Below are 23838 nucleotides of genomic sequence, written 5' to 3'. Positions count from 1 at the left end.
GTTTTGTAAAAGAATCATATAAATAAATTGATATTTAAAATAATTTTTTGAAAAGCAATTATGCAAAGCTCAGATTATGGGGAATTTTAGATACTTTGATTTATGGTTAATTTAGACTTTAAGAAGAAACCCTTTTTTATGTACCAACTTTTGCAATTAAAATATTTTTGTCAGGCATAATTTTATTTGCTTTCTGTAGTGGGAACAGTGTGGTGAATGTAATTGAGTTTTCAATGATAGATGACTGTAGAGTGCCTCACAGCCACAAATTACTGTCTATACACAATATTGTCAGTGTAAAGTTTTATGAGAACGAGCCGAATGTATGGCCATCACAGGATGTACATAGAGTTTGCTGTTTGGATCCAACCTATTTTCCAATTTTAAAGTGAAAAGTAGTATATTTTTAAAGTGGTACATCGAATTAAATATGTATAACATATATATTTTATAAGTAATGATTCTTAAAGTCAACCTTTAATATAACCTTTTCCATAAATTTGTTTTTTTTCTCTTCTATAACTTATTTATTTATTTTTTTTATTATACTTTAAGTTTTAGGGTACATGTGCACATTGTGCAGGTTAGTTACATATGTATACATGTGCCATGCTGGTGCGCTGCACCCACTAACTTGTCATCTAGCATTAGATATATCTCCCAATGCTATCCCTCCCCCCTCCCCCTACCCCACCACAGTCCCCAGAGTGTGATATTCCCCTTCCTGTGGGAATTGAACATACTCTTTTTTACCTAATTTTATTTTTTGTTTCCCCCTTCCTTGCAAAACTGTGACTTGAGCATATTCCGGGCGTTGTAAACTGTTTCTATTCCAGTAGGTGTCAGGCTTTCCCAGCGTGCAGACCACAAAGGCAGGCTAACGGATGCCGTGATGCAGAATTCTATGCTTAATCCAGTTCCTGTAAACTGACTCTCTTAGCATTTACCCCCAAATAATAAATTTAAAATTATAGTTTTATATTCAGAAAAGCAGAAGTTGTGCGAATACAAAAAGTTCCCACTTAATTATTAGGAATATATAAGCACTCATTAAATTCTAGCATATGAAATGCAATATATATTTATAGTAACAGAGTAGAAACAGCAAAGTAATGAAATAAAGAATGTGATTAATGGGTAAAAGTTGATAGAGAATATACTTTATGTAGTGTTTATTTCACTGGCAGTAATGTAATAGAGACATCTATTTCACAAAGATATAAGAAAATACCCTTTAGTATAATGGTTTCTCTTTAGAATTTAACAGCATGTAAGAATAACCCATTTTGGATGTTATTAGGCCTAATAATAACTTTGAAAACAACACAAGAATTTAGCTGATCAGATAATTCACTTCTAAAACCTATTCATAATTCACACAAAATGAGCAGAAAAAAAGTATGACAGCAGAATTTAATGGTTAATTTTTGTAATTTTCTAATTTGTCATTAAACTCAGAATAATTTTCTAATTTGTCATTAAACTCAGAAATAATAATTTCTAATTTTCTAATTTGTCATTAAACTCAGAAAAAAAATCCCTCTTTTTCTGCATATTCAAATTTTACCTTCCTCTGACCCTTCTCATTAACATGTTAACATATGTATGAGCCCTCTGTATTTAAAATGAAATATTATAAGAAACAAACACAAAACATAAATAACTGGACTAGCCTTGGCTTCTGACCACTTTCTCCTTTTTTTTTTTTTTTTTTCATAAAAGCCCTCCTTAATTGAGTTGGCTTTAATGGCTCTCTTTTGCCTTCCTTCATACCTCAATTCTCTCAGGCCAGAGCATGGTGCTCACTAAACTGAAATAGTGGCTATTTTTCAGTCCTCATTTTGTCTTTTTCAGCAGCATTTCACACTGTTGATCACTTACCTCCTTCTTAAAATATTTTCTTCCTTTGCTCTATGACACCACACTTTTATAGATTCCTTCCTAACTTCTCTGGTCACCCCATTTAAGACTGTATTGTTGGCATCCACCACTATCAGTTCATCAAATATTAGAGATTCTCCGTTCATAATTCAAGGTCCTTCTTTCTTTCAGTATCATCCACATTCATGACTTAATACATTTCTATATACCAATGCTTTGCCAAATTTATATCTCTAGCCTTGATCTCCCCTCTGGATGCCAAACCCATCTAATAATCCATGATTTTACAGAGTTTTATTGAGCTCTTTCTATGCACCTGGCACTGTTCTAGGCAGCAAATAGAGTAGTAATAAGACAGGCAAGGTCCCTGTTTTCATGGGATGTATTGCGGAAAGACATAAAATACACCATTGTCTATATAAGTAGAATAATTTCAAATAATTCCTACAAAGAAAAAAATAAAGGTGACAAAATAAGGAATGGCAAGTGAGAGCATAGTTAACTTTACATTGGGTGGTAAGAGAAGGTCCCTTTGAAGAGGTGACATTAAAGCTGGAGGTGCAAGTGGAAGAGGAGTCCTTCATTATAAAAGGTGCAGAAAGAGCATTCCAGCAAGAGCAAAAAAAGTTTCCTTTGAGATATTAACTTGACATGTTCAATAAACAGAAAGGAAGCCAGTGTGGCTGGAGGAAATGAAGTGCAGTGATCTTGGAGTGTGACAATGAATGAAAGACCAAATTTCACACATTTTAAGACATACATCTCTGAAATCAAGAATGTGTCTTGAAATCAAAGGCATTTTTCAGTCACTAGTGGTCAGATAGCAGTTGTTGCCATTGCCTTCGAAATACTTTACCAGTTTCATTTACATTTCCTTCTTAAGTTTGCAAAAGTGATATGTGACCAAAATCTCAAAGTCTGAAAGACAAATCTAAAAATTCAAATTAAGCAAGTATGATGTCATACTTTTCCTTCTGATTAGTACCTAAAATAATGTGTCACTTACAATAATGAAGACTTAATCCAGTGAAATGCATTAATCTGACTTAAATGTTCAAAAGATCCCTCCCTTTTGTGGATCATGGATTATGGTAGACAAGAGTGGAAAGAAGTGGACCAATTAGAACACTAGTGGTGAATAACGGCAAGTAGAAGATGGAGAGAAGTTGAGGTATTTGGGATGTATTAGAGGTGTAACAAGACTTTTTGATAGATTAGATAAAAACCAGAAGGGAGAGAAAAATGCCAAAGATCTATCCAAGGTTTCTAGTTATGGAACTAGCCATTCACTGATTTGGTAAAAATTAAGATACATGTGTACAGGGGTTGGGAATTGTGGGAAAAGCTAAGTAGGCAGTTAGATTGTATCATTACCTCATTTCACCTATTATCCTCTCAGGCAAGGTTTACTGACCCCATTCACAATTGGTAGGCCATTCCCCCCATTATACACTACAATTTCTTAAGCTTCATTCAGAATCAGCATTTGTGATTCACTGTTATTCCTCCTCTCACCTCTGCCACTGGGCTGTTGGTTCCATAAGGCAGGACATGTAGGAGTTCTTGTTCATTGTTTTACTCCCAGCACAAGCACAGTGCTTGGGACAGATAAGGTGTTCAGCAAATATTTGTTCAACATATAAATACACTAATCCTAATTTCTTATTTCCATCCTTCCTATTTCAAAGTGCTTGGTCATTGACTAACACCCACTCTGCCAGACAGGAAACCATAGGTCTATTTTGGCCAGGAGTTCCTGCAAGGCTAAAAAAAAAAAGAAGAAAAACTACAAGATGAAACAAAAATATGCCAGAATAATCCTGAATAATCTAGAAAAGAACCTGTAATAAACATAAATACGCCTTTTACTAAGAATTATTATAAAATTCCAAGAATGGTAGAAAAAAGAACAAATATGAGTTTATTCTAAATCAACCAGGTTTTTTTCATAAACAAATGCAAATATTTGGGAAGCTTTCTTCTTTATATTCACATATTAATCCTCATATTTCACATTCAGTATGATTAAATATTGATTGTGTACCTGCTATAAACCAGAGACTTTGCTAGCTCTGAAAATAAGTCCCTATATGCAAAGATACTACAAATTCATTATGATTATTATGTAGTGTCGTAAGTGCAGTGAACAGGGGAATTCAAAGAGACCTGTAGGAGCGATTAGAAAGGCCACCTAACTTCACCTGAGAAGGCTTCCTGGAGTTATTATTAGGTGTGAAAAGAGAGAACGATGGCAAAAGAGGGCCCATTGTTAGTCACAGGGGCAGACAGGGAAGAAAGGTGGGTTTAACAAACAGCACATATTGTACCAGAGAACCACTTATTTGAATAGCCGGAAGTGGCGGAAGATGAGGTTGGGGAGGTAGGCAGGAGGCAGATCTAGGATGGCATCGTGTGACTAACTGGGTAACAAATCTAGATTGTATTCTGGAGGCAACCAATAGCCTGTGAAGCCTCACGAGCTGGGAAGTGAACTGGTCACGCTTATCTTCCCACTTGTGATAAGAGACTGTACCTGCCAAGGGAGTGTAATGTAGGAGCTGAGAGCTACAACTCTAAAGCCAGCCAGCTTGGATTTGAGTCTTTGCCCTGAGCTTTGTTAGCCAAGTGACCTTAGGTAAGCTACTTAATCCCTCTGTAAAGAAATAATGATAAAAATCTTCCTCTTCTTTATGGAGTTATAGTAATGATTAAATGAGTGAATATATTCACTGACAATAGTAGAGTACTAGTAACAGATGCCATATAAGTGTTTGCTACTATTATTATTATTATTTGCCAATCAAATGAAAGTACGAAGGACTTCTTTTGACCATATCAAGGGTTTGCAGCAGCACTGTGTCCAAAAGTGAAGGACCTAGGCTTTTCTCTAATGCCATTGTCATTTGCATGGCCTAATGAGTAAGGAATCTTGGTAATGGAAAGGATTACTAAAAGAAAACCTCAGGCTCTCCAGGACCTCAAATAAGAGAATCCCTACATGCAGTTAGTACTTTTCTATAGAAGGAGTTTAAGATTATTTTTGTTAGAAAATCCAGAGGATAAAGTTCTGTTCAGCAAGTTATACCTTTAGTATCTTGTTTTCTCATAGCACATATTAACATTTTTTGAAGTCTGATAGGTATGTTAGTGTTTACTTTTTATAGGGAATATTCCTTAGACAGAGGAATTATTATTATTTTTTTAAATTCTGTGTAACCCAAAGCCTAGCACAGTGCTAGCACATGATGGGCAAATTATAAATATTCATCAAATTGTTCCCAACATTTGAAAGCAAGGACCTTGGATAACACAACTAGCATTTATTTAAAAACTAGTATTTATCAAACTATTAGTTACTAGTTCTAATTATGACACAACTGTATGCCACTTTCTATATGGTATGTAAAATTTAAATGCTATTTTAACTTGAATTGTCTCTTTTTTCTGTTTATTATATTTCCCTTTCTATTAAAAAATTCTGGCTGGGTGCGGTGGCTCACGCCTGTAATCCCAGCACTTTGGGAGGCTGAGGTGGGTGGATCATGAGGTCAAGAGATCAAGACCACCCTGGCCAACATGGTGAAACCCCATCTCTACTAAAAATACAAAAATTAGCTGGGTGTGATGGCACACCACCTGTAGTCCCAGCTACTCAGAAGGCTGAGGCAAGAGAATCGCTTGAACCTGGGAGTCGAAGATTGCAGTGAGCCGAGATTGTGCCACTGCACTCCAGCCTGGCAAGAGAGCGAGACTCCGTCTCAAAAAAAAAAAAATTCTTAGCTATAGCATCTCTGAAAAGCTCACAATCGTTTCCCATGAATGTCCAAGGGTTTTACTGTAATTAGTTTTTAAAAATTTAATTACAGCCTCTAATAAAATATGATTAACAGAAATGATGCATTCAAGTGATTTAGAAAAAGCTGTCAATAAATGACATTTCTGATTATTTAATAGATAAAATCCTGTTGTCCCCCAAAGTGAGAAAGATTAATGCATGTCTGTTAAATGTTTTTTTAATGGCAAATCTACTTGTCCCAAAGTGAACATATTGTAATCTGTACTATTTGTTTTACAGTAAGCTGGGATTGTTCCAAAGTCCACCAAGTGAATACTTTTTTAGTTACAATCAGATTTACTTATATATTTCGAAAAATTCTATAACTTTTGAAATATAGTGAAAAATAGACTTGAATAATAAATAATACAGAAATAAGTAAATTCATTGGCTAGAATTCTTACCAGTGTCTCTCTTCTTCTCACCTTTATATCAGCAACAGCTTTAACTAAATGTCTTTCACATAGCAGGTGTGTCAACTTCTATTTTTAACTTGGATTTTATTTTATTATTAGTAAGATATTTAACCCCATTTTGCTCCCAAGACATGTCTGGTGTCTTGACTTTGTATTATTACATGTAAAAACTATTTGTAAGTTTAGTTTTGCAATACTAAACTTCTAGTATTCCAAACATACAGATGACTCTGAGCATTAAATGAATAAAATATTGACCCACCCAGATATTTTTTCTTTGTTTATTTTGATTTGACTATCACTTCTTTTGAAAACCCTCTTTAACAACACTCCTTTAAATTTGTTTTATTTTATTTCAACCACTCAAATTGCTCTAACTTTAAATTAAAATTAATTTGAAAAATAAGTTTTCTGATTCATCATATTCATGATGGCAACACAACTCAAAATAATCATGGTACTAGCAAAATTTGAGTTGTTGAGCACCTATTCTGTGAGGAGCATGCATCTAAGCACTTTTCATTCATTTTTATCTGAACGAGAACCCTGCAAAGTTTTATTTTTATTGACATTCCTTGTATTAAATCTGTAGTTTCCATATGAAGAAACTGAGGTTCACAGACATCAACTGAGTTGCTCAAAATCATGGAACTAGACCATACTGAAGCCAGGATTGCACCCCTGGTGTGCTTGTTTCGATCTTTGACAACTGTTACTTTTTATAATACTGCTATTCCAATTTTCACATCTGTTCAAGCCCCAATTTTATTTATTTGTTTATTTTTGTCTTTCATATTGTGAATATGGTTGGGAACACAATCAACATATCCTTGAATTAAACTAACAGCCACCGTGGTGCTAGTTTGCTTGGCAATGACTATTCTAAGTAAAACTACCTCTATAAGTGAGTAGAAAAGTGAATGATTATTTCAGTTAAAACAAAATTGCTGCATTTTATTTCTTCATTTTTCCCTATTAGATAAATTAACAATAACTTTATCTAACTGAAATGGTGAAATTATAAATATGATCCAATTTCATCTTGAATTTGAAATAATTTTCTGGGAGTGAGGTAAATTTCACTTGCAATCTTCTAGACCTGATAGACAGAGAAAGAACAAAAAGAAAAGAAGATTTCTTACTTTCCTCTAGTTGTTTCGAAATTTGATTTTTGGTAGTCAGTTCTTTGGCTGGAACTGCTGTCACCCCGGCTGAGGTATGTTTCCCGTGGGGCTCGATTTCCCACGCCTCCAGTGCCTCCAACGCCTCCAATGCCTCCAGTGCCTCCAACTGTGTTTAGAGAAGTTGCTTGTTCATTTGACTTTCTGGCAAAGCTCTGAAGAAATTTCAGTGTAGAATTGGAAAGGACCACTGATTCTGCTCCAGGATTGAACTTGATGCTAGCGTTGGTTGGGAGGGTAAGATTCTGTAACTTGACCACTCCTTCTGCTTTCTCTGTGGATGTGAGAGTTTGATTTCTCACACCCTCAGCAGGTGCACTTGTTTCTGAGGGAGGCAGTGTTGATTTAAGAAGACTGTCTTCAGAAGTTCTTGCCTCTGGAGTTGTAGCTATCTCCGCCGACATGACCCGAGTGGTTGGCAGTATTTGCAAACTTTGTATTTTATTTGGAGGAACTGAAGCAGAAGGCATAGTCTTCTGAGAGTTCCCATCCTCAGGTATAGTCCAAGAATGCTTACTGTTGTTAAGCCCAATGCCCCCACTCCATAAACTAGAAAGAAGGACAAATAATCTTGCCCCCTTCATCTCAGTAGTTTGAAGCAAGGTAGCTCATGTGAAATTTGGGGACAAAATCCTTATGGCCTTTTTGATAGCTGCTTCCACACTGAATCTGCTAAGACTGAGTTTTGCCAGTTTGAGATGTGTAGAGGAAACAGGTTTCTGTGTTTTGTAGCGTACTCAGGAAGTTCGGTTTCCTGTTTCTGTAGGGTTTTTGTGATCTGTGACCTCTAGTGGGATGGCTCTATGGAAGTGCTGAAGGGTCTCTGACAAAGCTAAGGGTAAATGGGAAAGCACAGGCAATTATTATCAGGAAAACCCATGAAAAAATATGAAGTAACTTTCTTTTCCTGAGCACACCCTGGTTTCACGTTTCACTGATTTCAAAGAGAAATTTCAGGTTCACGATAGAGAGTGCAAAATTTTGTTGATATAGGCTGAATACAGTTTTAACATTTTGTTCTACTACATAAAGACACTGAGAAAAGTTTTTATGATACTTATCTGCTGTGCTCTATCCAGAAAGCTGCATTTTGTTCAAGTGTATATCCACATGCATACACATAATCAAAAGCTTGTTTACAGTGTCTCTATCCTTTCATATAGTACATATACTCTGAATTATAAAACATCTATCTACATACATGTATATCTTTCTATTTTTATAAATACACTTCAGCTGTATCATTACTTAATCTCAATGATTATAAGTAATAACAGAAAAGGAAAGCATAAGTAATTGAATTAGACAGGTATACCAGGAAGTCACTTTAAATTTTGCTCCTGGAACTTCTACCAGAGATACCCACTAATGGAATAAATAATCAGAATTTTACTTCCTTTATTTTCCAATCACGATTGTCTGATGGTTGGGGGTAACCAATATTTTACTAGTAAGGGATAGATGAAGAAAAAATGGAGTCACATAAAAATAAATTAAAATGGGATCATATAGAATGCTTTTATACATTTACTGTAGGACAAAATTATGCCAGTTGTAGGTAGCAGAGAACCAGATTTATCTGAGTTTTCTATGGGTTTTTTTCTGGTAGAGATGTTTCATGAGATTTATCATTTAATTTCTCCAGCAAATCTCTGATCCTCAGATTTCAATTAACCTCTTATCTATAAAATTTCATATCAGTCTGTTTAAATAGATATACAAACTAAGTTATAATAGTTCATTCATTCATTCACTCATTCATTTATTTATGTATTCATGAATTCAGTAGTTACATAACCCCTCATTCTGTGCAAAGCACTCTCTTATGTGCTAGGATTATAAGGAAAACAAAAATATTCTTTGCTGTCAATTTGCTAAATGTCTGTTATGTTATTTGGAAGCTAAATCCATGTGTAACCCATTTTTCTGTCAACTTCTGTGCCAGGCATTATGCTCTTGCTAAATATTCAGTCATTGATTGTTAAACTATTATTAGATTTTATTTTTTGTTATTAGATTATTAAGTTCCGTCTTTCAAAATTAGAGAATTGGAAATCTAATGCCTGCTTGGTTATGTTTTATTGTAGATATTTTCTCTAGTCCTTATTCCTGGACACAGTGCACCAGGATTTGAAATAAGGCCTAATTCTTCCTTGAGCTACTAACTACTTGGGATTAATATTTTTTTCTTCCCTCAATCTTTGCCATTTATTTCCGTAAGTGTATTGTTGACCTACTAGAGAGTATTTATTTAAACTAAGACAATCATCAGCAACCCCAATCGACTCTGATATGGAGTAAAAAGCATCCGTTTCTCAGATATACCACAGAACAATCCACAAACCTTGCCTTAGTAAAGGAGCAAAAAGGTCCAGCAGAGACAATCCAGGAAACGATTAGTTACTAAAAAGAGCAAAAGAGCAATGAAACTGCACAACTGTCACAATACAAACATGGTTTTCAGTAGAAAGAAAAAGGCTTTACAGTGTCTTTATCTGGAAAACACAGAAGAAACTAGCTTTGGCTTATGGAAGAGCAGTAATTTCATAAAATTTAGGAAAAATGTTCCTATTTATATTCAATTTTACACCAATTTTCCTAGCTTTAGTAAAAATAGATGAATGGACTGTCTTGAAGATTTACAAAACTGCCAAAATAATGACATTCACTGATTTTTTGTTTTCTTCTACAGTTTGAAAGACTGTTCAAACCTGGTCTGGCAAGTGAACTTTAGTGGTAAAATGTCACCCATTGGATCTATAACTGATAACAAATAGTTATCCAATGATAATAAAAACTGAACAAAGCTAAGCAATTCATTTAACCACTTATAAGGTATTGACCAATAATGACTTTTGCTCACCCCTATCCTAGCTTACAAGGGACCCTGAAATCAAAAGGCTAAAGGTTCTGTATCTCACTATTGATCTACTAAGCCATCTTGCACTTTAACTCCCCAGAGAATCTCAAGCTCATTTAGTGATTTTGGGTATATGGATCAGCCCTTAATTAGAGGTATAAAATACTCCAGAAATTGTCAGAGACCTTGTCTCAAATTCTTCTTTCTGAGACTAATTAATACTCATTAAATAACAATTAAGAAAAATAATATTGCTGAGATGACTGGCTGAAGAGTACTCAGTTTACTCATTCTTCTAGATACTATTATACTAGATACTAGATACTAAAATACTATTGTTGGATTAAACTATATCATCAGTTTTGTATAACTGGACCCTGTCATTTTGCTATACCTCCCATTTCCCACTTGGTTGTTCATATTAAATTATGTTTTACCATCTTGCCATTTGTTCACCATGAATATTTTATAAGATAAAAATCATGAAATTTATTATATTATGAGTTATCAGGAGATTTTTATGTCATTTTTCATTGTATCATAAACATAGGATTCACTATATACTGCAACATGGGTTGTCTGTAGGTGATGAGATAATGGGTTTGGTTCTTTTCCACCTTATAATGCATATGAATTAATTTTCTAACCACAAGAAAAAAAAACAAAAAAAGATTATTAAGTTAAAAGAAAATATAAATGTGAGTTAAAAGAGAATCTTAGATTGAGGAGTTCACTGTAGATGGTGCTGTGTACTATTCAAAGCATTTTTATAGCTGCAAGACTTATTCTTTGTAAAATGTTGGGGGTATGGGCTAACTTCCACCAGATTAATAGGATTTTTCAGCAGCTGTTTTCTTCATTTTTCACATGAGAAATTCCTATTTTCTTAAAATAGTTTAAAACATCCAAAATATGATTTCATTATTACCTTCCTCCATAAGACATATCTGTCAAAAAATAATAGAAGAAAACAAATTTTAGAGCTTTTTCAATTTAATGGTGTTTGAAAAATATTGAAAACCTGTCAAATTTACATGTGGACAAAGGGGGTTATCAACATACAGCAAAAGGGCTGGAGAAGAAGAGAAACTGATTTCTGCATGATTTTGATGAGTCGATGTGCTAGGTAAGTTAAATTTGGCATATTATTTAATTCTTACAAACATGTTAGGTAAGTATTCTATTCTTGTTATACTCATGGGAAGTTAAACTTAAAGAAGTTAAATAACTTCCTAGGGTAACACATTAGTAATTGTTAGAACAGATATTTATGCCCAATCCTGATTCAATAGGTATTCGGTAAATATTTGTTGAATCAGTGAACGAATAGATGAAGCTATGACCATACTCCTATGTATAGTGATAACAAATGGGTTGAAGAGGGCTCTATTTCACATTATTATAGCCACACAAAAGAAAAAAAAAGTAATCTAAATAAATATAATGAACTTGTTCCGGGAACACACCTTCAAAAGTCTTCTGAAATACCCATTCAGTCAGATTGCCTCCTGTAAGTTACTCCTAAAGAAAATTCAGAAAGCCCATTGTTTCTATATTATCTATTCTCAAAATAAATATGAGAAGGTTTATTTTGAAGCCGTCACAGCCACATTAGAATAATAAACCAAAGACTGGGAGTTGTAGAATAAAAGATAATGAAGCAGTAGTGATGCTAGAAAAATTTAAGATAAGCAAATAAATTGGAAGTAAGAAAATTTAGGTTTGAGTGGGCTGGCAGGAAAGGGAAGATGGACAATTAATGAATTATATAATTCTTAATATTAAGTGAGAGAAACATATTAGTTTATCAGGAAAAAAAAACAACATATTTGTCCTAATATTAAAATTTTAACTTTATAAGATCATAAGGAACATACTGATAAAGATGACCAAATGCCCCTCATGAGAAAATGAATGTAAGAATAGTTCACAAAACCATGTCATTGCTGATTTTATATTTCCCATTTACGCAGAACAGTACCCTTGAAGTGAAAGAGTTCAAAACGCATTTCTTTTGATCATTTTAGAAATAACCATATTTTCATTTTCTTAATGGAAAGCTGTATCTGGTTATCAAGTGATTATCATTAGTGACTTCCACTTCTGGAAATATGGAATAGACATATCTCCCTATTCCTTCTGCTAAGTACATCTGAAAATATGGACATTATATATAGAAAAAATAGAATAAGACTCTGAAGAGTGGAGAAAAGAAGGCAGAATGGCTAGGTGACCCAAGGAACAATGAAGCACTGAGTTCCCAAGTTTACTTTTGCCTCATTTCTGGGTACTGGAGAATTTGGCAAACTAGGAACGCCAATGGGCAGAAACAATAAAAGCCCCAATAAAAGCTCTCTTTAGGCCAAGGACTAGAGAATTGTCAGCCTGGAAAGAAGAGAAAGTTTTTAGAAAATAACCACTCTACTCCCACCATAGAGCACAGGGGAAAAAAAAAAAAAAAAGCAAAATAAAAGACAAAAGAACCCACCCTTGCCAGCAAAGCCTGAAGGGAGAATTAAACTTCCACCTCATGAGGTTATAACAAGGTGTCCCAACCCTCATTCTTCTGTTGGGGTAGTCTCAGAGAAGGCCAACAGAGGAGCCAGAAATTTCTTCATCAAGAAGCCTCGCCTGAGTACACTGCCATGGCTCTCCAAAAGCTGAGTGAAAAGAAAAGAATGAAAATCAGTAGCTTCAAGGCATGGCAGGTCTTCACTGAGTGACTTTGGAGGAAAGGTCCTCCAAAGGCTAGAGATAAGGCAAGAGGTTGGAAAGATGTCTTCCAAGGTATAGAAATGCAGGGGTGGGTCTGGAAAGAAATGAGAATGTACTAGAGATTGTTTTAAAAATGATTTTTCGTTGCAAGTAGAAGAAGATTTTTCATTGTAAAGTAGTGTTTTAATCATCCTCTCTTCACCCCATTGGTGAGGGAGGAATTCCCACCCTAAGGTTATAAGAATGGGTGAACACATGATGTCTAGTGTTGAATTGATGAGATTGGAAGCAGTTTATACATAAACTAAAGCCCTGGGGAAGAGGGCACAGCACATCACGCAGGGCCACACCAGGGCTGCACTCGGGAATACAGTGAACAATCAACAATGCTAGAAGGCGGACTTTGTAATATCAAGAGTATGAGGTGTCCCCTGGCTCCCACAGGCGGATGTGACTGGCTTGTTCGAATAATTCTGTGGGCTGGCAGGGAACTGAAACCTACTACTCAGGGATAAGCAGGAACTATGCCTGGTCCCTTTGATAAGGCAGTGGATACTGGGCTGGGGACCTTATCCACAAGAGCAGAGTGGGGAAGGAAACTTTTGGGTTAAGGCCCTCGACGCCCTCTGGTTTCAGATGTCAAGACGGCACATAATTCTGTGTCTTAATTTTAGGCCTCGTATCACACACAGTTCAGAGAGCTTTTTCTCTGTATTGTCAAGGATAAAGAGCTCTCCAGAGCTTTGCCTGTGCTCAGATCTCAAAATTAGTTGAAAGGAAAATCCTTATCACGTCCTCAAAGTATTTTAAGAGCGTGGTGAGTTAAAACTTAATGCTACAACAATTTTGGTTTATATTAGACCTAGCTCAATTACAAATTGGGATAACTCAGCTCCTACACTAAACGGCTAACAGAATAAGAATGTCCTTCTCTGAGGTAAATATTATTTACTATAGCCTTTATTATTCTTTTAAGCATAATGCCTCATACAATAAAAATTGTAAGACAAATAAAAAATAAGAAAATGTAATTCATGGTCAAGAGAGAAACCCTAAAAAAATCAAGAAAACACCAAGATATTGGAAGTATAAGAGAGAGAATTTCAAATAACTATGATAGAATGTGGTATTGAAGATGGGCAACATGTCTGAACAGAACGGGAATTTCAGCAGAGATAAAAATTATTTTTTAAAAAGTTGAATGAAAATGCCAGGAATAAGACATATCAAAAATGAAGAAGTCATTTGATAAGCTTGATAGCATACTGGAAATATCAAAGAAAATAAGCAGTTAGCTTGAAAATAGGTCAGAAGAGATTATCAAAACTGAAACACAAAAAAGATGAATATGTGAACGAAATACACAGTGTCGAGATCTGTGGAACAATTTCATATGGTTTAGCACACCTATAAATGGAGGGAATAAAGAAGAAAAGAGAGACTAAATAGGACAAAAGATAATTTTTTAAAGATTTATAGGTAAGAATTTTCCAAAATTGATGAGACACAATTGATGAGTTATCAGGAAAAAAAAAAACACGCCATATCACATAAAGGGGAACACAATTATAGCTAACTTTTCATTAAGTCAGATAGATGAGAGAGAGCAATAGAATTACATCTTTAAAGTGCTCAAAGGAAAAAAATAACTTGCCAACTTATAATTCTATATCTTGTAAAAATATCCTTCAAAAGTAAAGGGGAAATAAAGACATCTTTAATAGGTAAAACGTGAAAGAATTTGATTTCAGAAGACCCACCCTATAAGATATACTAGAGAAACCCATTGCGCTAAAGAGAAACTACAGAAAAATGGAGCTAGATTGACAAGAATGAATGGAGAGCATCAGAAAAGTTAAATATATATGTAAACAAATTTGATATTATCTTATCAATTAAAAAATGTAGATAATTGATATTATCTTTATTATAGAGTCAAAAAAGATGAATATGTGAACAAAATGAATAGTGTCTGAGATCTGTAGAACAATTTCATATGGTTCAACATACCTATAATTGGAGGAAATAAAGAAGAAGAGAGAGAGCATTATAATTTCATATGTAGTGTGAAATTATAATGAATTAAATTTTTTTTTAATTTGACTGTTGAGATAAAAATCACAGCAATAATGTATGGTGAGATTGATAGCATTTGTAGTTAAAATTCAAGACAGAGGAACACAAAGAGCCTGCAGGTGTGTAAATGGAATTACACAGTTATAAGTAGATTCTGATGTTATATGTGAGAAGTAAAATGTTATTTGAAAATATACTAGAATAAATTAAAATGCATATTTTAATTGTTAGAACAAAAATGTAGTTTAAAAATCAATGTAGGATTACAATGGAATATTTAGAAAATACTCACTTCATATAAAAAGGGCAAGGAAGGATGAAAGGAGACTCAGTTAAGAACACATAATACTGAATATAAATGTACCTAGTAGTGTTTCAAAATATGTGAAGCCAAAATCACTGTAAATGTGTGGATTTATTTCTGGGTTCTCTATTTTGTTCCATCAGTCTATGGGTCTGCTTTCATGCCAGCACCATCCTATTTTGGTTACTACAGCTCTGTAGTATAATTTGAAGACAGGTAATATGATTCCTCCAACTTTGTTCTTTTTGCTTAGAATTGCTTTGGCTATTCTGTATTTTTGGTGGTTTCATTTAAATTTTAGGATTTTTTTCTATTTCTGGAAGAATGTCATTGGTATTTTGATAGGGATTGCATTAAATCTGTAGATCGCTTTGGGTAGTGTGGACACTTTAACAATATTGATCCTTTGAATCCATGAACATGAGATATCTTCCCATTTTTGTGTCGCCTTCAACTGCTTTCATCAATAATTTTTGACAAAGGCTTCAAAAACATACACATGTTTTCTTTAATTTGTGGGAGCTAAAACATTTGCTCTCATGGAGGTAGAGAGTAGAATTTTGGTTATCACAGGCTGGGAAGGGTAGTGATGAGCAGGGGATAAAGAAAGGTTGGTTATTGGATACAAAATACAGTTAGATGGCAGAAATAAGATATAAGGTTCAGTAGCACAATAGGGTGACTATAGTTCACAATAGTTCATTGTATATTTCAAAATAACTAGAGAAGTGGATATGAAGTGTTCATAACACAAAGAAATGATAAACATTTCAGGTGATCAATATCCTAATTACCTTGATTTGATAATTAAACATTGTATGTTGTATCAAAATATCACATGTACTCCATAAGTATGTACAACCATTATGTAGCCATAAAAATAAAAAATAAAAAAATAAAAATCATGAAGCCAAGATGGACAGAATTAAAGGGAGAAATGGATAAATCTAATATCATAGTCAGAGATATTAACATCCTTCCTTTAGTAGACAGATATTCACATAATCAGCAATGATATAGAAGATTCGAACAAAATTATTAACCAATTGGACCTAATTGATATTCATAGAACATCCAACAACTACAGAACACATACTTTTTAAATGTACATGGAACCCTCATTGATACAGAATATGTTTTGGGTCATGAACTATTTCTCAGTAAGTTTCAAAGCATAAAAATCATAAAGAGAATATTCTATAAACACAAAACTGTTAAGTTACAATAAATAAAAGTAAGCGTTAAAAATCCCTAAATATTTTAAATGAAACAATATACTTCTAAATAATCCTCAGTCAAAGCAGCAATAACAGGGATGTCTTAAATATGTGTAACTGAATGATAATCAAAACATATCAAATTTTGTGCAATTTTGTCACTTGAAATACCTATCTTACAATAGAAGAAAGGGGCCAGGCACAGTGGTTCACGCTTGTAATCTTAGTACTTTGGGAGGCTGAGGCAGGCGGATTGTCTGAGCTCAGGAGTTTGAGACCAGCATGGGAAATGTGGCAAAACCCCACGTCTACTAAAATACAAAAAAAAAAAAAAAAATTAGCCAGGCATAGTTGCTAATAAAAAATAAAAAATAAAAAAAGAAGAAGAAAGGGATGATATTATTGAGGTATGCTTCCATTTTAAGTAATAGGTAAAAAAGATCAAAATTTTCCCAAAGTTAGTAGAAGGAAGAAATAGTGGAAATAATAGCAGAAATTAATGAAACAGAAAATGGGCAAAGAAGAAAGAAAAATAATTTTTGGAGTTGATTTTTTGTAAAAATTAATATGATTAATTGACCGTTAGCAAGACTAATCAAGAAAAACAAGCGAGAAGAGATAGTAACTGTTAGAAAATAAAAGTAGAGACATTATGAAGAGCCTACACACATTGCAAGAATAGTAAGGTCCCATTATGAACAATTTATGCCAATATATCTGGCAACTTAAATGAAATGAAAATATTCCTTTAAAAACTAAAACTGGTAGAAAGAGACATTTAGAAAACTAAAAATCTCCATTCATAATAAAAACTTTCACACAAGTAAAGCTCCAGATCAAAATGGCTTCGCTAGTAAATTCTAGTAAACATTTGAAGAAGAAACAATACAAATCTTCAGGAATTCTTTTCAAAAACAGAAAAGGAGATACCACATCCTAATCTCATTTATAAGGCCACAAAAACCTAATACCAAATATTACAAAAAAAATTTCAAGAAAAACAAAACTTCAGACCAGTATCTTTCATTGACATAAAAGGAAAAGTATTAAACAAAATGATAGCATTGTGTAAAAAGCTAATATATCATGATCCCACAGGGGTAATTCAAAGAAGTTAAGGTTGATTTACACTCAGAAGTCAGGCAATGTTATTCACCATATTAGAATGAATGAAAGAAAGAGAGAAAGTAGAGACAGAGACAGAAAAGAGAAAGAGAGAAAGGAAAAAAGAAGGAAGGAAGGGAGGAAGGGAGGGAGGGAGGGAAGGAAATGTATGTATATACATCTAAGTAGATACTGTAGAAACATTTGACAAAACTAAACACTAGTTTATATTGAAATCTATCTGCATACTAGTAATAGAAGGCATCTACAAAGAGTCTATAGCTAACATCTTTATTAATTATGAAACTTTGAATGCTTTTTCCCCAATATAAAAAGAAAAAACAAAAATATTTGCTCTCACAACTTATGTTCACTATTGCATTGAAAATCCTAGCTGATGCAATAAGGAATAAAAGAAATTAGCAGGATGACTGGAAAGGAAAATGTAAAGTGCTGTATTATATATAAATGACTTGTCTGTGTACATAAAAATTCTATGTAATTCTCAAAGTTTTTAAAGCCGGGTGTGGTGGCACACTCCTGTAGTCCCAGCTACTTGGGAGGCTGAGGCTGGAGGATCACTTGAGCCCAGGAGTTCTAGGCTGCACTGTGCTCTGATTGCACCTGTGAATAGCCAAGGAATGTCAGCTTTGGCAACATATCAAGACCTTGTCTCTATAAAAAGGAAAGAAAAGAAAAAGAAAAATAATTCACTATTAGTGAATTTAGGCAAGTTCACATGATAAAGGATTAATATTCATGTATTAATCGTAGTTCATATGCTAGCCACAAGCAATGGGAACAGCAATTCATTAAAGTTCCATTTATAATGGCATCAAAAACCCATCAAAATCTTGGAATAAACAAAATTTTGCAAGATTTTTGCAGTGTAAACAACAAGATATTGCCAAAAATTTTTTGAAACACCCGAATAAGTAAATATGCCAAGTTCAAGGACTGGAAAACTTGATATTTTGAAAAGCCCATCCTCCTCAAGTTTACTTATACCTTCAATACAATATTAATTAATCTTAGCAGATTTTTGTTGATTAAATTTCTAAGCAATGCTAAAATTAATAAAGAAACACATTGGATCTAAAAACTCAAACAATTTTCCAAAAAAATTGGATAGTTAATACTACATGATGTCAAGACGTAATCTACAATAAGGAAAAATACTATAATATTGGTGTAAAAATAGAAAAATAGAGCACCGGGACAAAATAGTCCAAAAATCAATCTATACCAATTTTGGACAAAGGTACCAAGTCCATTCAATGGTAAAATATCTTATTAAATAATGATACTGGAACAAATACGTGAATTTAAAAAAATGAACCTTTACCTTGAACCCACTCCAAATCCAAAAATTAATTTGAGATGTTTCATAGATTTAAATATAAACATTAAAACCATACACCTTGTAGATGCAAGTATAAGGAAATGTCTTCATGGTCTTGGTATAGAGAAAGATTTATTTGATAGATACGGAAAACATGAACCTTTTAAAAATAGTTGAAACACTGCATCTCCTCCAAATTTAAAACTTTAGTTTATCAAAGGACATAGTTGAAAACAAATTGGCAAGCCACATCTTGGAGGAAAATAATAGAAATTTAGATATTTGAACAAATTACTCCATTCAAAATATAAAATGAATTCTTATAAATTAATAATGAAAAGACAAGCAATCCAATTAATAAATTGTCAAAAGCCCTGAACAGACACATCACAAAGGAAGATACACAACTGGCTAACAGACATGTGAAAAGATGTCTCAGCATCTTTAGTGATCGGAGCAAAACAAAGCAACTAAAACTACACTGAGATACCATTTCACACCCATTAAGAGACCTAAAATTTAAAAAGCCTCATAGCACCAAATGTTGGATGGGAGTGGAGTGAAGCAATCAGAACTCATACGTTTCAGGTAGAATAAAATGGTACCACCACTTTGGAGAATTGTGCAGCAATTATAAAGTTGAAAATTCATGTCATCCATGATTCAAGAATTTTGCCTGAGATACTTACACAAGGAAAATAAAAAATGTGTCTACAAAAAGACTTGTTCAAGAATATTCGTAACAGCCCAAATATAAGAGAATATCAAGAGAAGAAGATATAAACAAGGAATGGAATATTACACTCATACAATGAAATAATATTCTGCAATGAAAAGCAATGAACACTGATACATGCAATTACATCTATGAATGTCAAAAATCAATATGATTACTGAGAGATTTGAGATGAAGAATAATGCTTATGTTATAGTTATATTTATATGAAGTTCAAGAGCAAGAAATACTAATTTACAATGATAGAAATCAGAAGGAAGTTTCTTCTGGGGAGGAGAGGAGGAAAGATTGATTGGATAGGGACATGGAAAGTATTTCTGGGATGATGAAAATATTTTACATCTTGCTTTCGGTTGTAGATTCTGAGTAGAATGCAATTGTCAAAACTCATGAAGCAGAACACCTAACAGCTGTGCATTTTAATGTGTATATATTACACATTAAGTTTTTAAAGTGAAAGAAAAGAATTTAATGAAAATGTAATAAAGAATGTTTGCCTCTTCCTATCATTGTATTCATCTTTCTTAAATCAAGTATTCAATCTTTTGCTTACTGAATACAACATATATATTCTTCTGGACAGCAGCGATTATCTACAACACAGAGAGTCAACTTAAATTGAACTGACATTTATCAAAGATGTAATATGACTAGGACATTAAATGGAGGAAAAAAATGCAAAAGAGCATTAAGAAAACTTCACTGTTAAAAGTGTTCAACTAAAATTTAAGTTTTCTAAAACTAGATCAGTAGTCTTTCTATACCTTACTCTGTCTTCATTCATGTCCTCTTAAAATCACCTAAATGCACATAAATTTAAAACTGAGAAGATTTTTTCTAATTTTATTAAAGAAAGAAAAAATGTTCAGTATTGTTCTTAAGATTATATATATTTATATATATACTGTTATACAAAATAATATTGATAGAAATGTTTCAATATTAGGAACATGGATTTATAGAGACAACAACAATAAAAACTCATAGGAAGTAGTTGAATAGCAATCCAAATTCTCTTTTTTACATGACAAAACCCACTTAAGGTAGTAAAATTAAGAGACAACAATATCCCCCACTCCATATCATAGTAATTAAATTAAAGACGTATGGTCATTCTAGTGAATGTGATTGTGATACATCAACATCACCAAAATACTAACGTAATCTTTCTGAGAGGGTTATTTAGCTTAAATTTAGAGAGACCCCCGCTGCTGACAAACTTTCATTAGTAATAAATTTAAGGTATAGATATTGGAAACAAGTGTTATGATCAAAGTGAAAATACAAAATAGCCCAGAAAGCAATTTACATTCATCTGAAATATTTTCAATAATAGTTAATGCATACGTTATTACACTAGACTCATTACTGTTTAGCTCTGAAAGGCTAACTATAAGTTTAAAGGTAGTGCAACCAAAGCGAATTCAGTACACAACTTGCAACAATATATTAATGAATTGAAGCAGGTGTACAGCACTTAATTGGGCAAAAATATGAATCAATACTAGATGAATCAATACCAGAGCTGTAGTAACAGTACTGACTAGAAAAGACTTCTTCCATTCACCATGGGCACCTTTGACAAACACAAAACGGCTTTAATGAATATTAAATAATATTCTTTAATTAATATCAATAATATTCTATCATCCTTCATTTACAAGAAAATGAAAAGGCATATAATTCTTTTATACACACATTAGAATTCATACAAAATGAGAACACCTGCTTTTACAGTTAGAAGAAATCATTTTTAACAAAACAAGTACATACAACATTCATTCTCAACTTGTGGAGATTTTGTATGTCATGACTAGAAAACGGCCACATTCTGTTGGAGTCCTTTAACACCTCAAAATAAGCAGGTCCTACATTTAAGAAATGTGTTACAAATGTATTTGCTTAAAATTTACAAATGTAGTTTGAGTTTTGAAGTAAGTATGTGCCAGATTGGAATTTAAACTTAACTAGATGCTAGCATATGCCCCAATAAAATTAAGAAGTTGCCTCCACTGGCAGTTAATTTGTTGCTTAGCTTACTGTATGCAAACTGTGTTATCATTGGTTAAATTAAAGAAATTAGTCACTGAAAAAGTTCCAGTGAATACAGGCAAAGCAATTCTGCAGATTTGCATTAAAGGAGCCAACAAATGCCTTACCCTTAATTTATCAGTGCTTCTGCTACTAAATCCCAATAGTTATTACATTTATCGACTTTATGAAAGCACATAGTTTTTCTCACATTTTTATGGACTTCTTCCCTCTCAACCCTTTAACATTTCTTTTAGAATTACATGCAGTGCAGTGTAGAAAGAAATATGAGGATCAAGCCTGAGACTGTTTTTTAACATCCCTGCTGTCAGGGATTGCTGGTGTGGTCTTAGACACATCCCTTGATCTTGCCAAGCCTCAGTTATCTCCTCTGTATTCTTCTTCCCATGATTACATGGGTCACTGCCTAGGACTGTTCCATACAATGTAAAGCGAGATATTGGTAAAAAGGAGAGATGTTATATAAGAAACCAAAGCTATAATTTATCAATTCTTAAATGTCCATTATGTTTTCTCTCCTCTCATCATGAGAAGGGACTGGACTCATCTATCCTTGAATTTCTTTGATCTTCAAGGCAAAGTTATTCTTACTCTAAGCACCACAGAGCCTTCTATGTGACTCACCTTTTCTGTAAATTCTTGTTGGACAACTTGCAGATTTTCTGAATTTTCTGATGCCAATAGAAGGGCAGATTAATACTGATTTCCTTCTTTAGGTAATTATAGTAGGTAATGGTTAACTCTTTGTGCACTGATTTTGTGCTAAGCACTCTATTAAGTGGCATATAAGCTATAATATCTTTTTTAATTTCTCTAAAACTCTTGTGACATAGTGACTCAGAATCCCCATTTTAACAAGCAGTCAAGTAACTGCCCAAGATATGGCAGCTGAGAGGGGACAGAACTGCCATTTAAACCCAAATCCTTTTACTTTAGGGCTTAAACTCAACCTTCTCCCCCAACTTAACTGATTTCATGTTTTAATTTAGATTCTTAGAAATTGTGTTGACACAAAGAAGTCAATTTCTGCTACATTAGAAAACATGTAAACAGCTAAACCAGAGTTTGACTTCAAAAGAAAAGCAGGCAGCTATATTTGTAAGTGCACCAATTGTCCTCCCCCAGGGTTTCTATACCCAGAGCAGTCAGAATATCTGTAAAATTAAAACCAGCATCATACCATGTCCAAAAGATTAACAGTTCCACAGTACAAAGTTTGTTGATTTAGTAGTGGATTCAGTCTGTCAATCAAAATGCCATAAACAATAACATGATAACAGTTTTCAACATAAATGCTTTTCTTCAGGCTATTTTCACATGTCTTGTTGAATTCTGCCAGAACATTTTCTCTACACATTCTTACTGCATTCTAAGTGCCCATTATAAAGGAAAATTATGCTTTTTTTTAAAGACAGTGTATGTTACACAAAGAGCTAAACTACTAATACTTGAAATAGACCTGTAATCTTATTTGAAGAAACATTAACAAAGTTCTATCTTACAAAAATAAGCAAATGTTAATTTAAAAAATTATCGGTAGCTCTTACCTTAATATTCTTTGCCCGTGGTTATAACCAAATGCTAACATCAATAGAAGCAGAAACCTCTTGGCCTCTCTGTAGGCTGTCTCCAAATATTCACTTATTTTCAGAAGCAGAGAAAGACAAGTTTGAAGAGGGCGGGGAGAAAACCACCCTTACAATAGCCCTGCCATTATTCTCTCAGTGAATGCCTAGCAACAGAAGTCCAGGGACCTAGAAACTAAGATGTCTGAGGGCACTGACCCCCAGCCTGCCTCACGTCCTTTCAGTGTAGCTAGGATCCTAGAGCTCTTACTAAAAAGTGTTATACAACCTGAAGGTTTAGCTGCCACCATGATTAAAGTGTTCAGAATAATGTTACGGCTAAGATAATTTTCTCAAAAATATTGATGGTATTATATCTTCTTGATTAACAATACTTCAGCCAGTACTGAAAATAGGCCTAATAGATAAATCTTATACATTAAGATTTAAATGTTTAATTCCACCCAGTTTAGAAACTAAACAAAAAAAACATGGAAGCTGGGGTAATCTCCTGCTCTAACTTTTTGATTAACAAGATTATTGCAACCCTGGAT

At 33.6% G+C, this 23838-nt stretch overlaps 1 protein-coding gene across 4 annotated transcripts in view, besides 1 other annotated feature; it reads right to left on the bottom strand.

Moving 5' to 3' along the window:
* MMRN1 (multimerin 1) overlaps positions 1 to 23358 on the bottom strand; it is a 75104-nt gene extending 51746 nt beyond the window's left edge. For 2 of the 4 annotated variants that reach the window (NM_001371403.1, XM_047449831.1), the window contains exons 1-2: positions 23267 to 23358; positions 7275 to 8145 (exon numbers count right to left, since the gene is read on the bottom strand). In NM_001371403.1, the coding sequence (NP_001358332.1) occupies positions 7275 to 7897 (623 nt within the window). In that variant the 5' untranslated portion in view covers positions 7898 to 8145; positions 23267 to 23358. Of the gene's footprint in view, positions 1 to 753; positions 887 to 7274; positions 8146 to 23266 lie in introns of those variants that run through there. The other 2 variants (NM_007351.3, NM_001410735.1) reach the window with 2 other exon arrangements.
* Positions 4364 to 4564: a silencer, noted in NCBI's record as "peak5070 fragment used in MPRA reporter construct". NCBI's record gives its function as "represses an SCP1 promoter by STARR-seq MPRAs in K562 erythroleukemia cells {active_cell/tissue: K562}" and the evidence as "EXISTENCE:reporter gene assay evidence [ECO:0000049][PMID:32103011]".

This window comes from Homo sapiens, chromosome 4 (assembly GCF_000001405.40).
Source record: "Homo sapiens chromosome 4, GRCh38.p14 Primary Assembly".
Lineage (NCBI taxonomy): Eukaryota > Metazoa > Chordata > Mammalia > Primates > Hominidae > Homo > Homo sapiens.
Note: the sequence above shows the minus strand (reverse complement) of the source record. Positions and strands in the feature narration are given on the sequence as shown.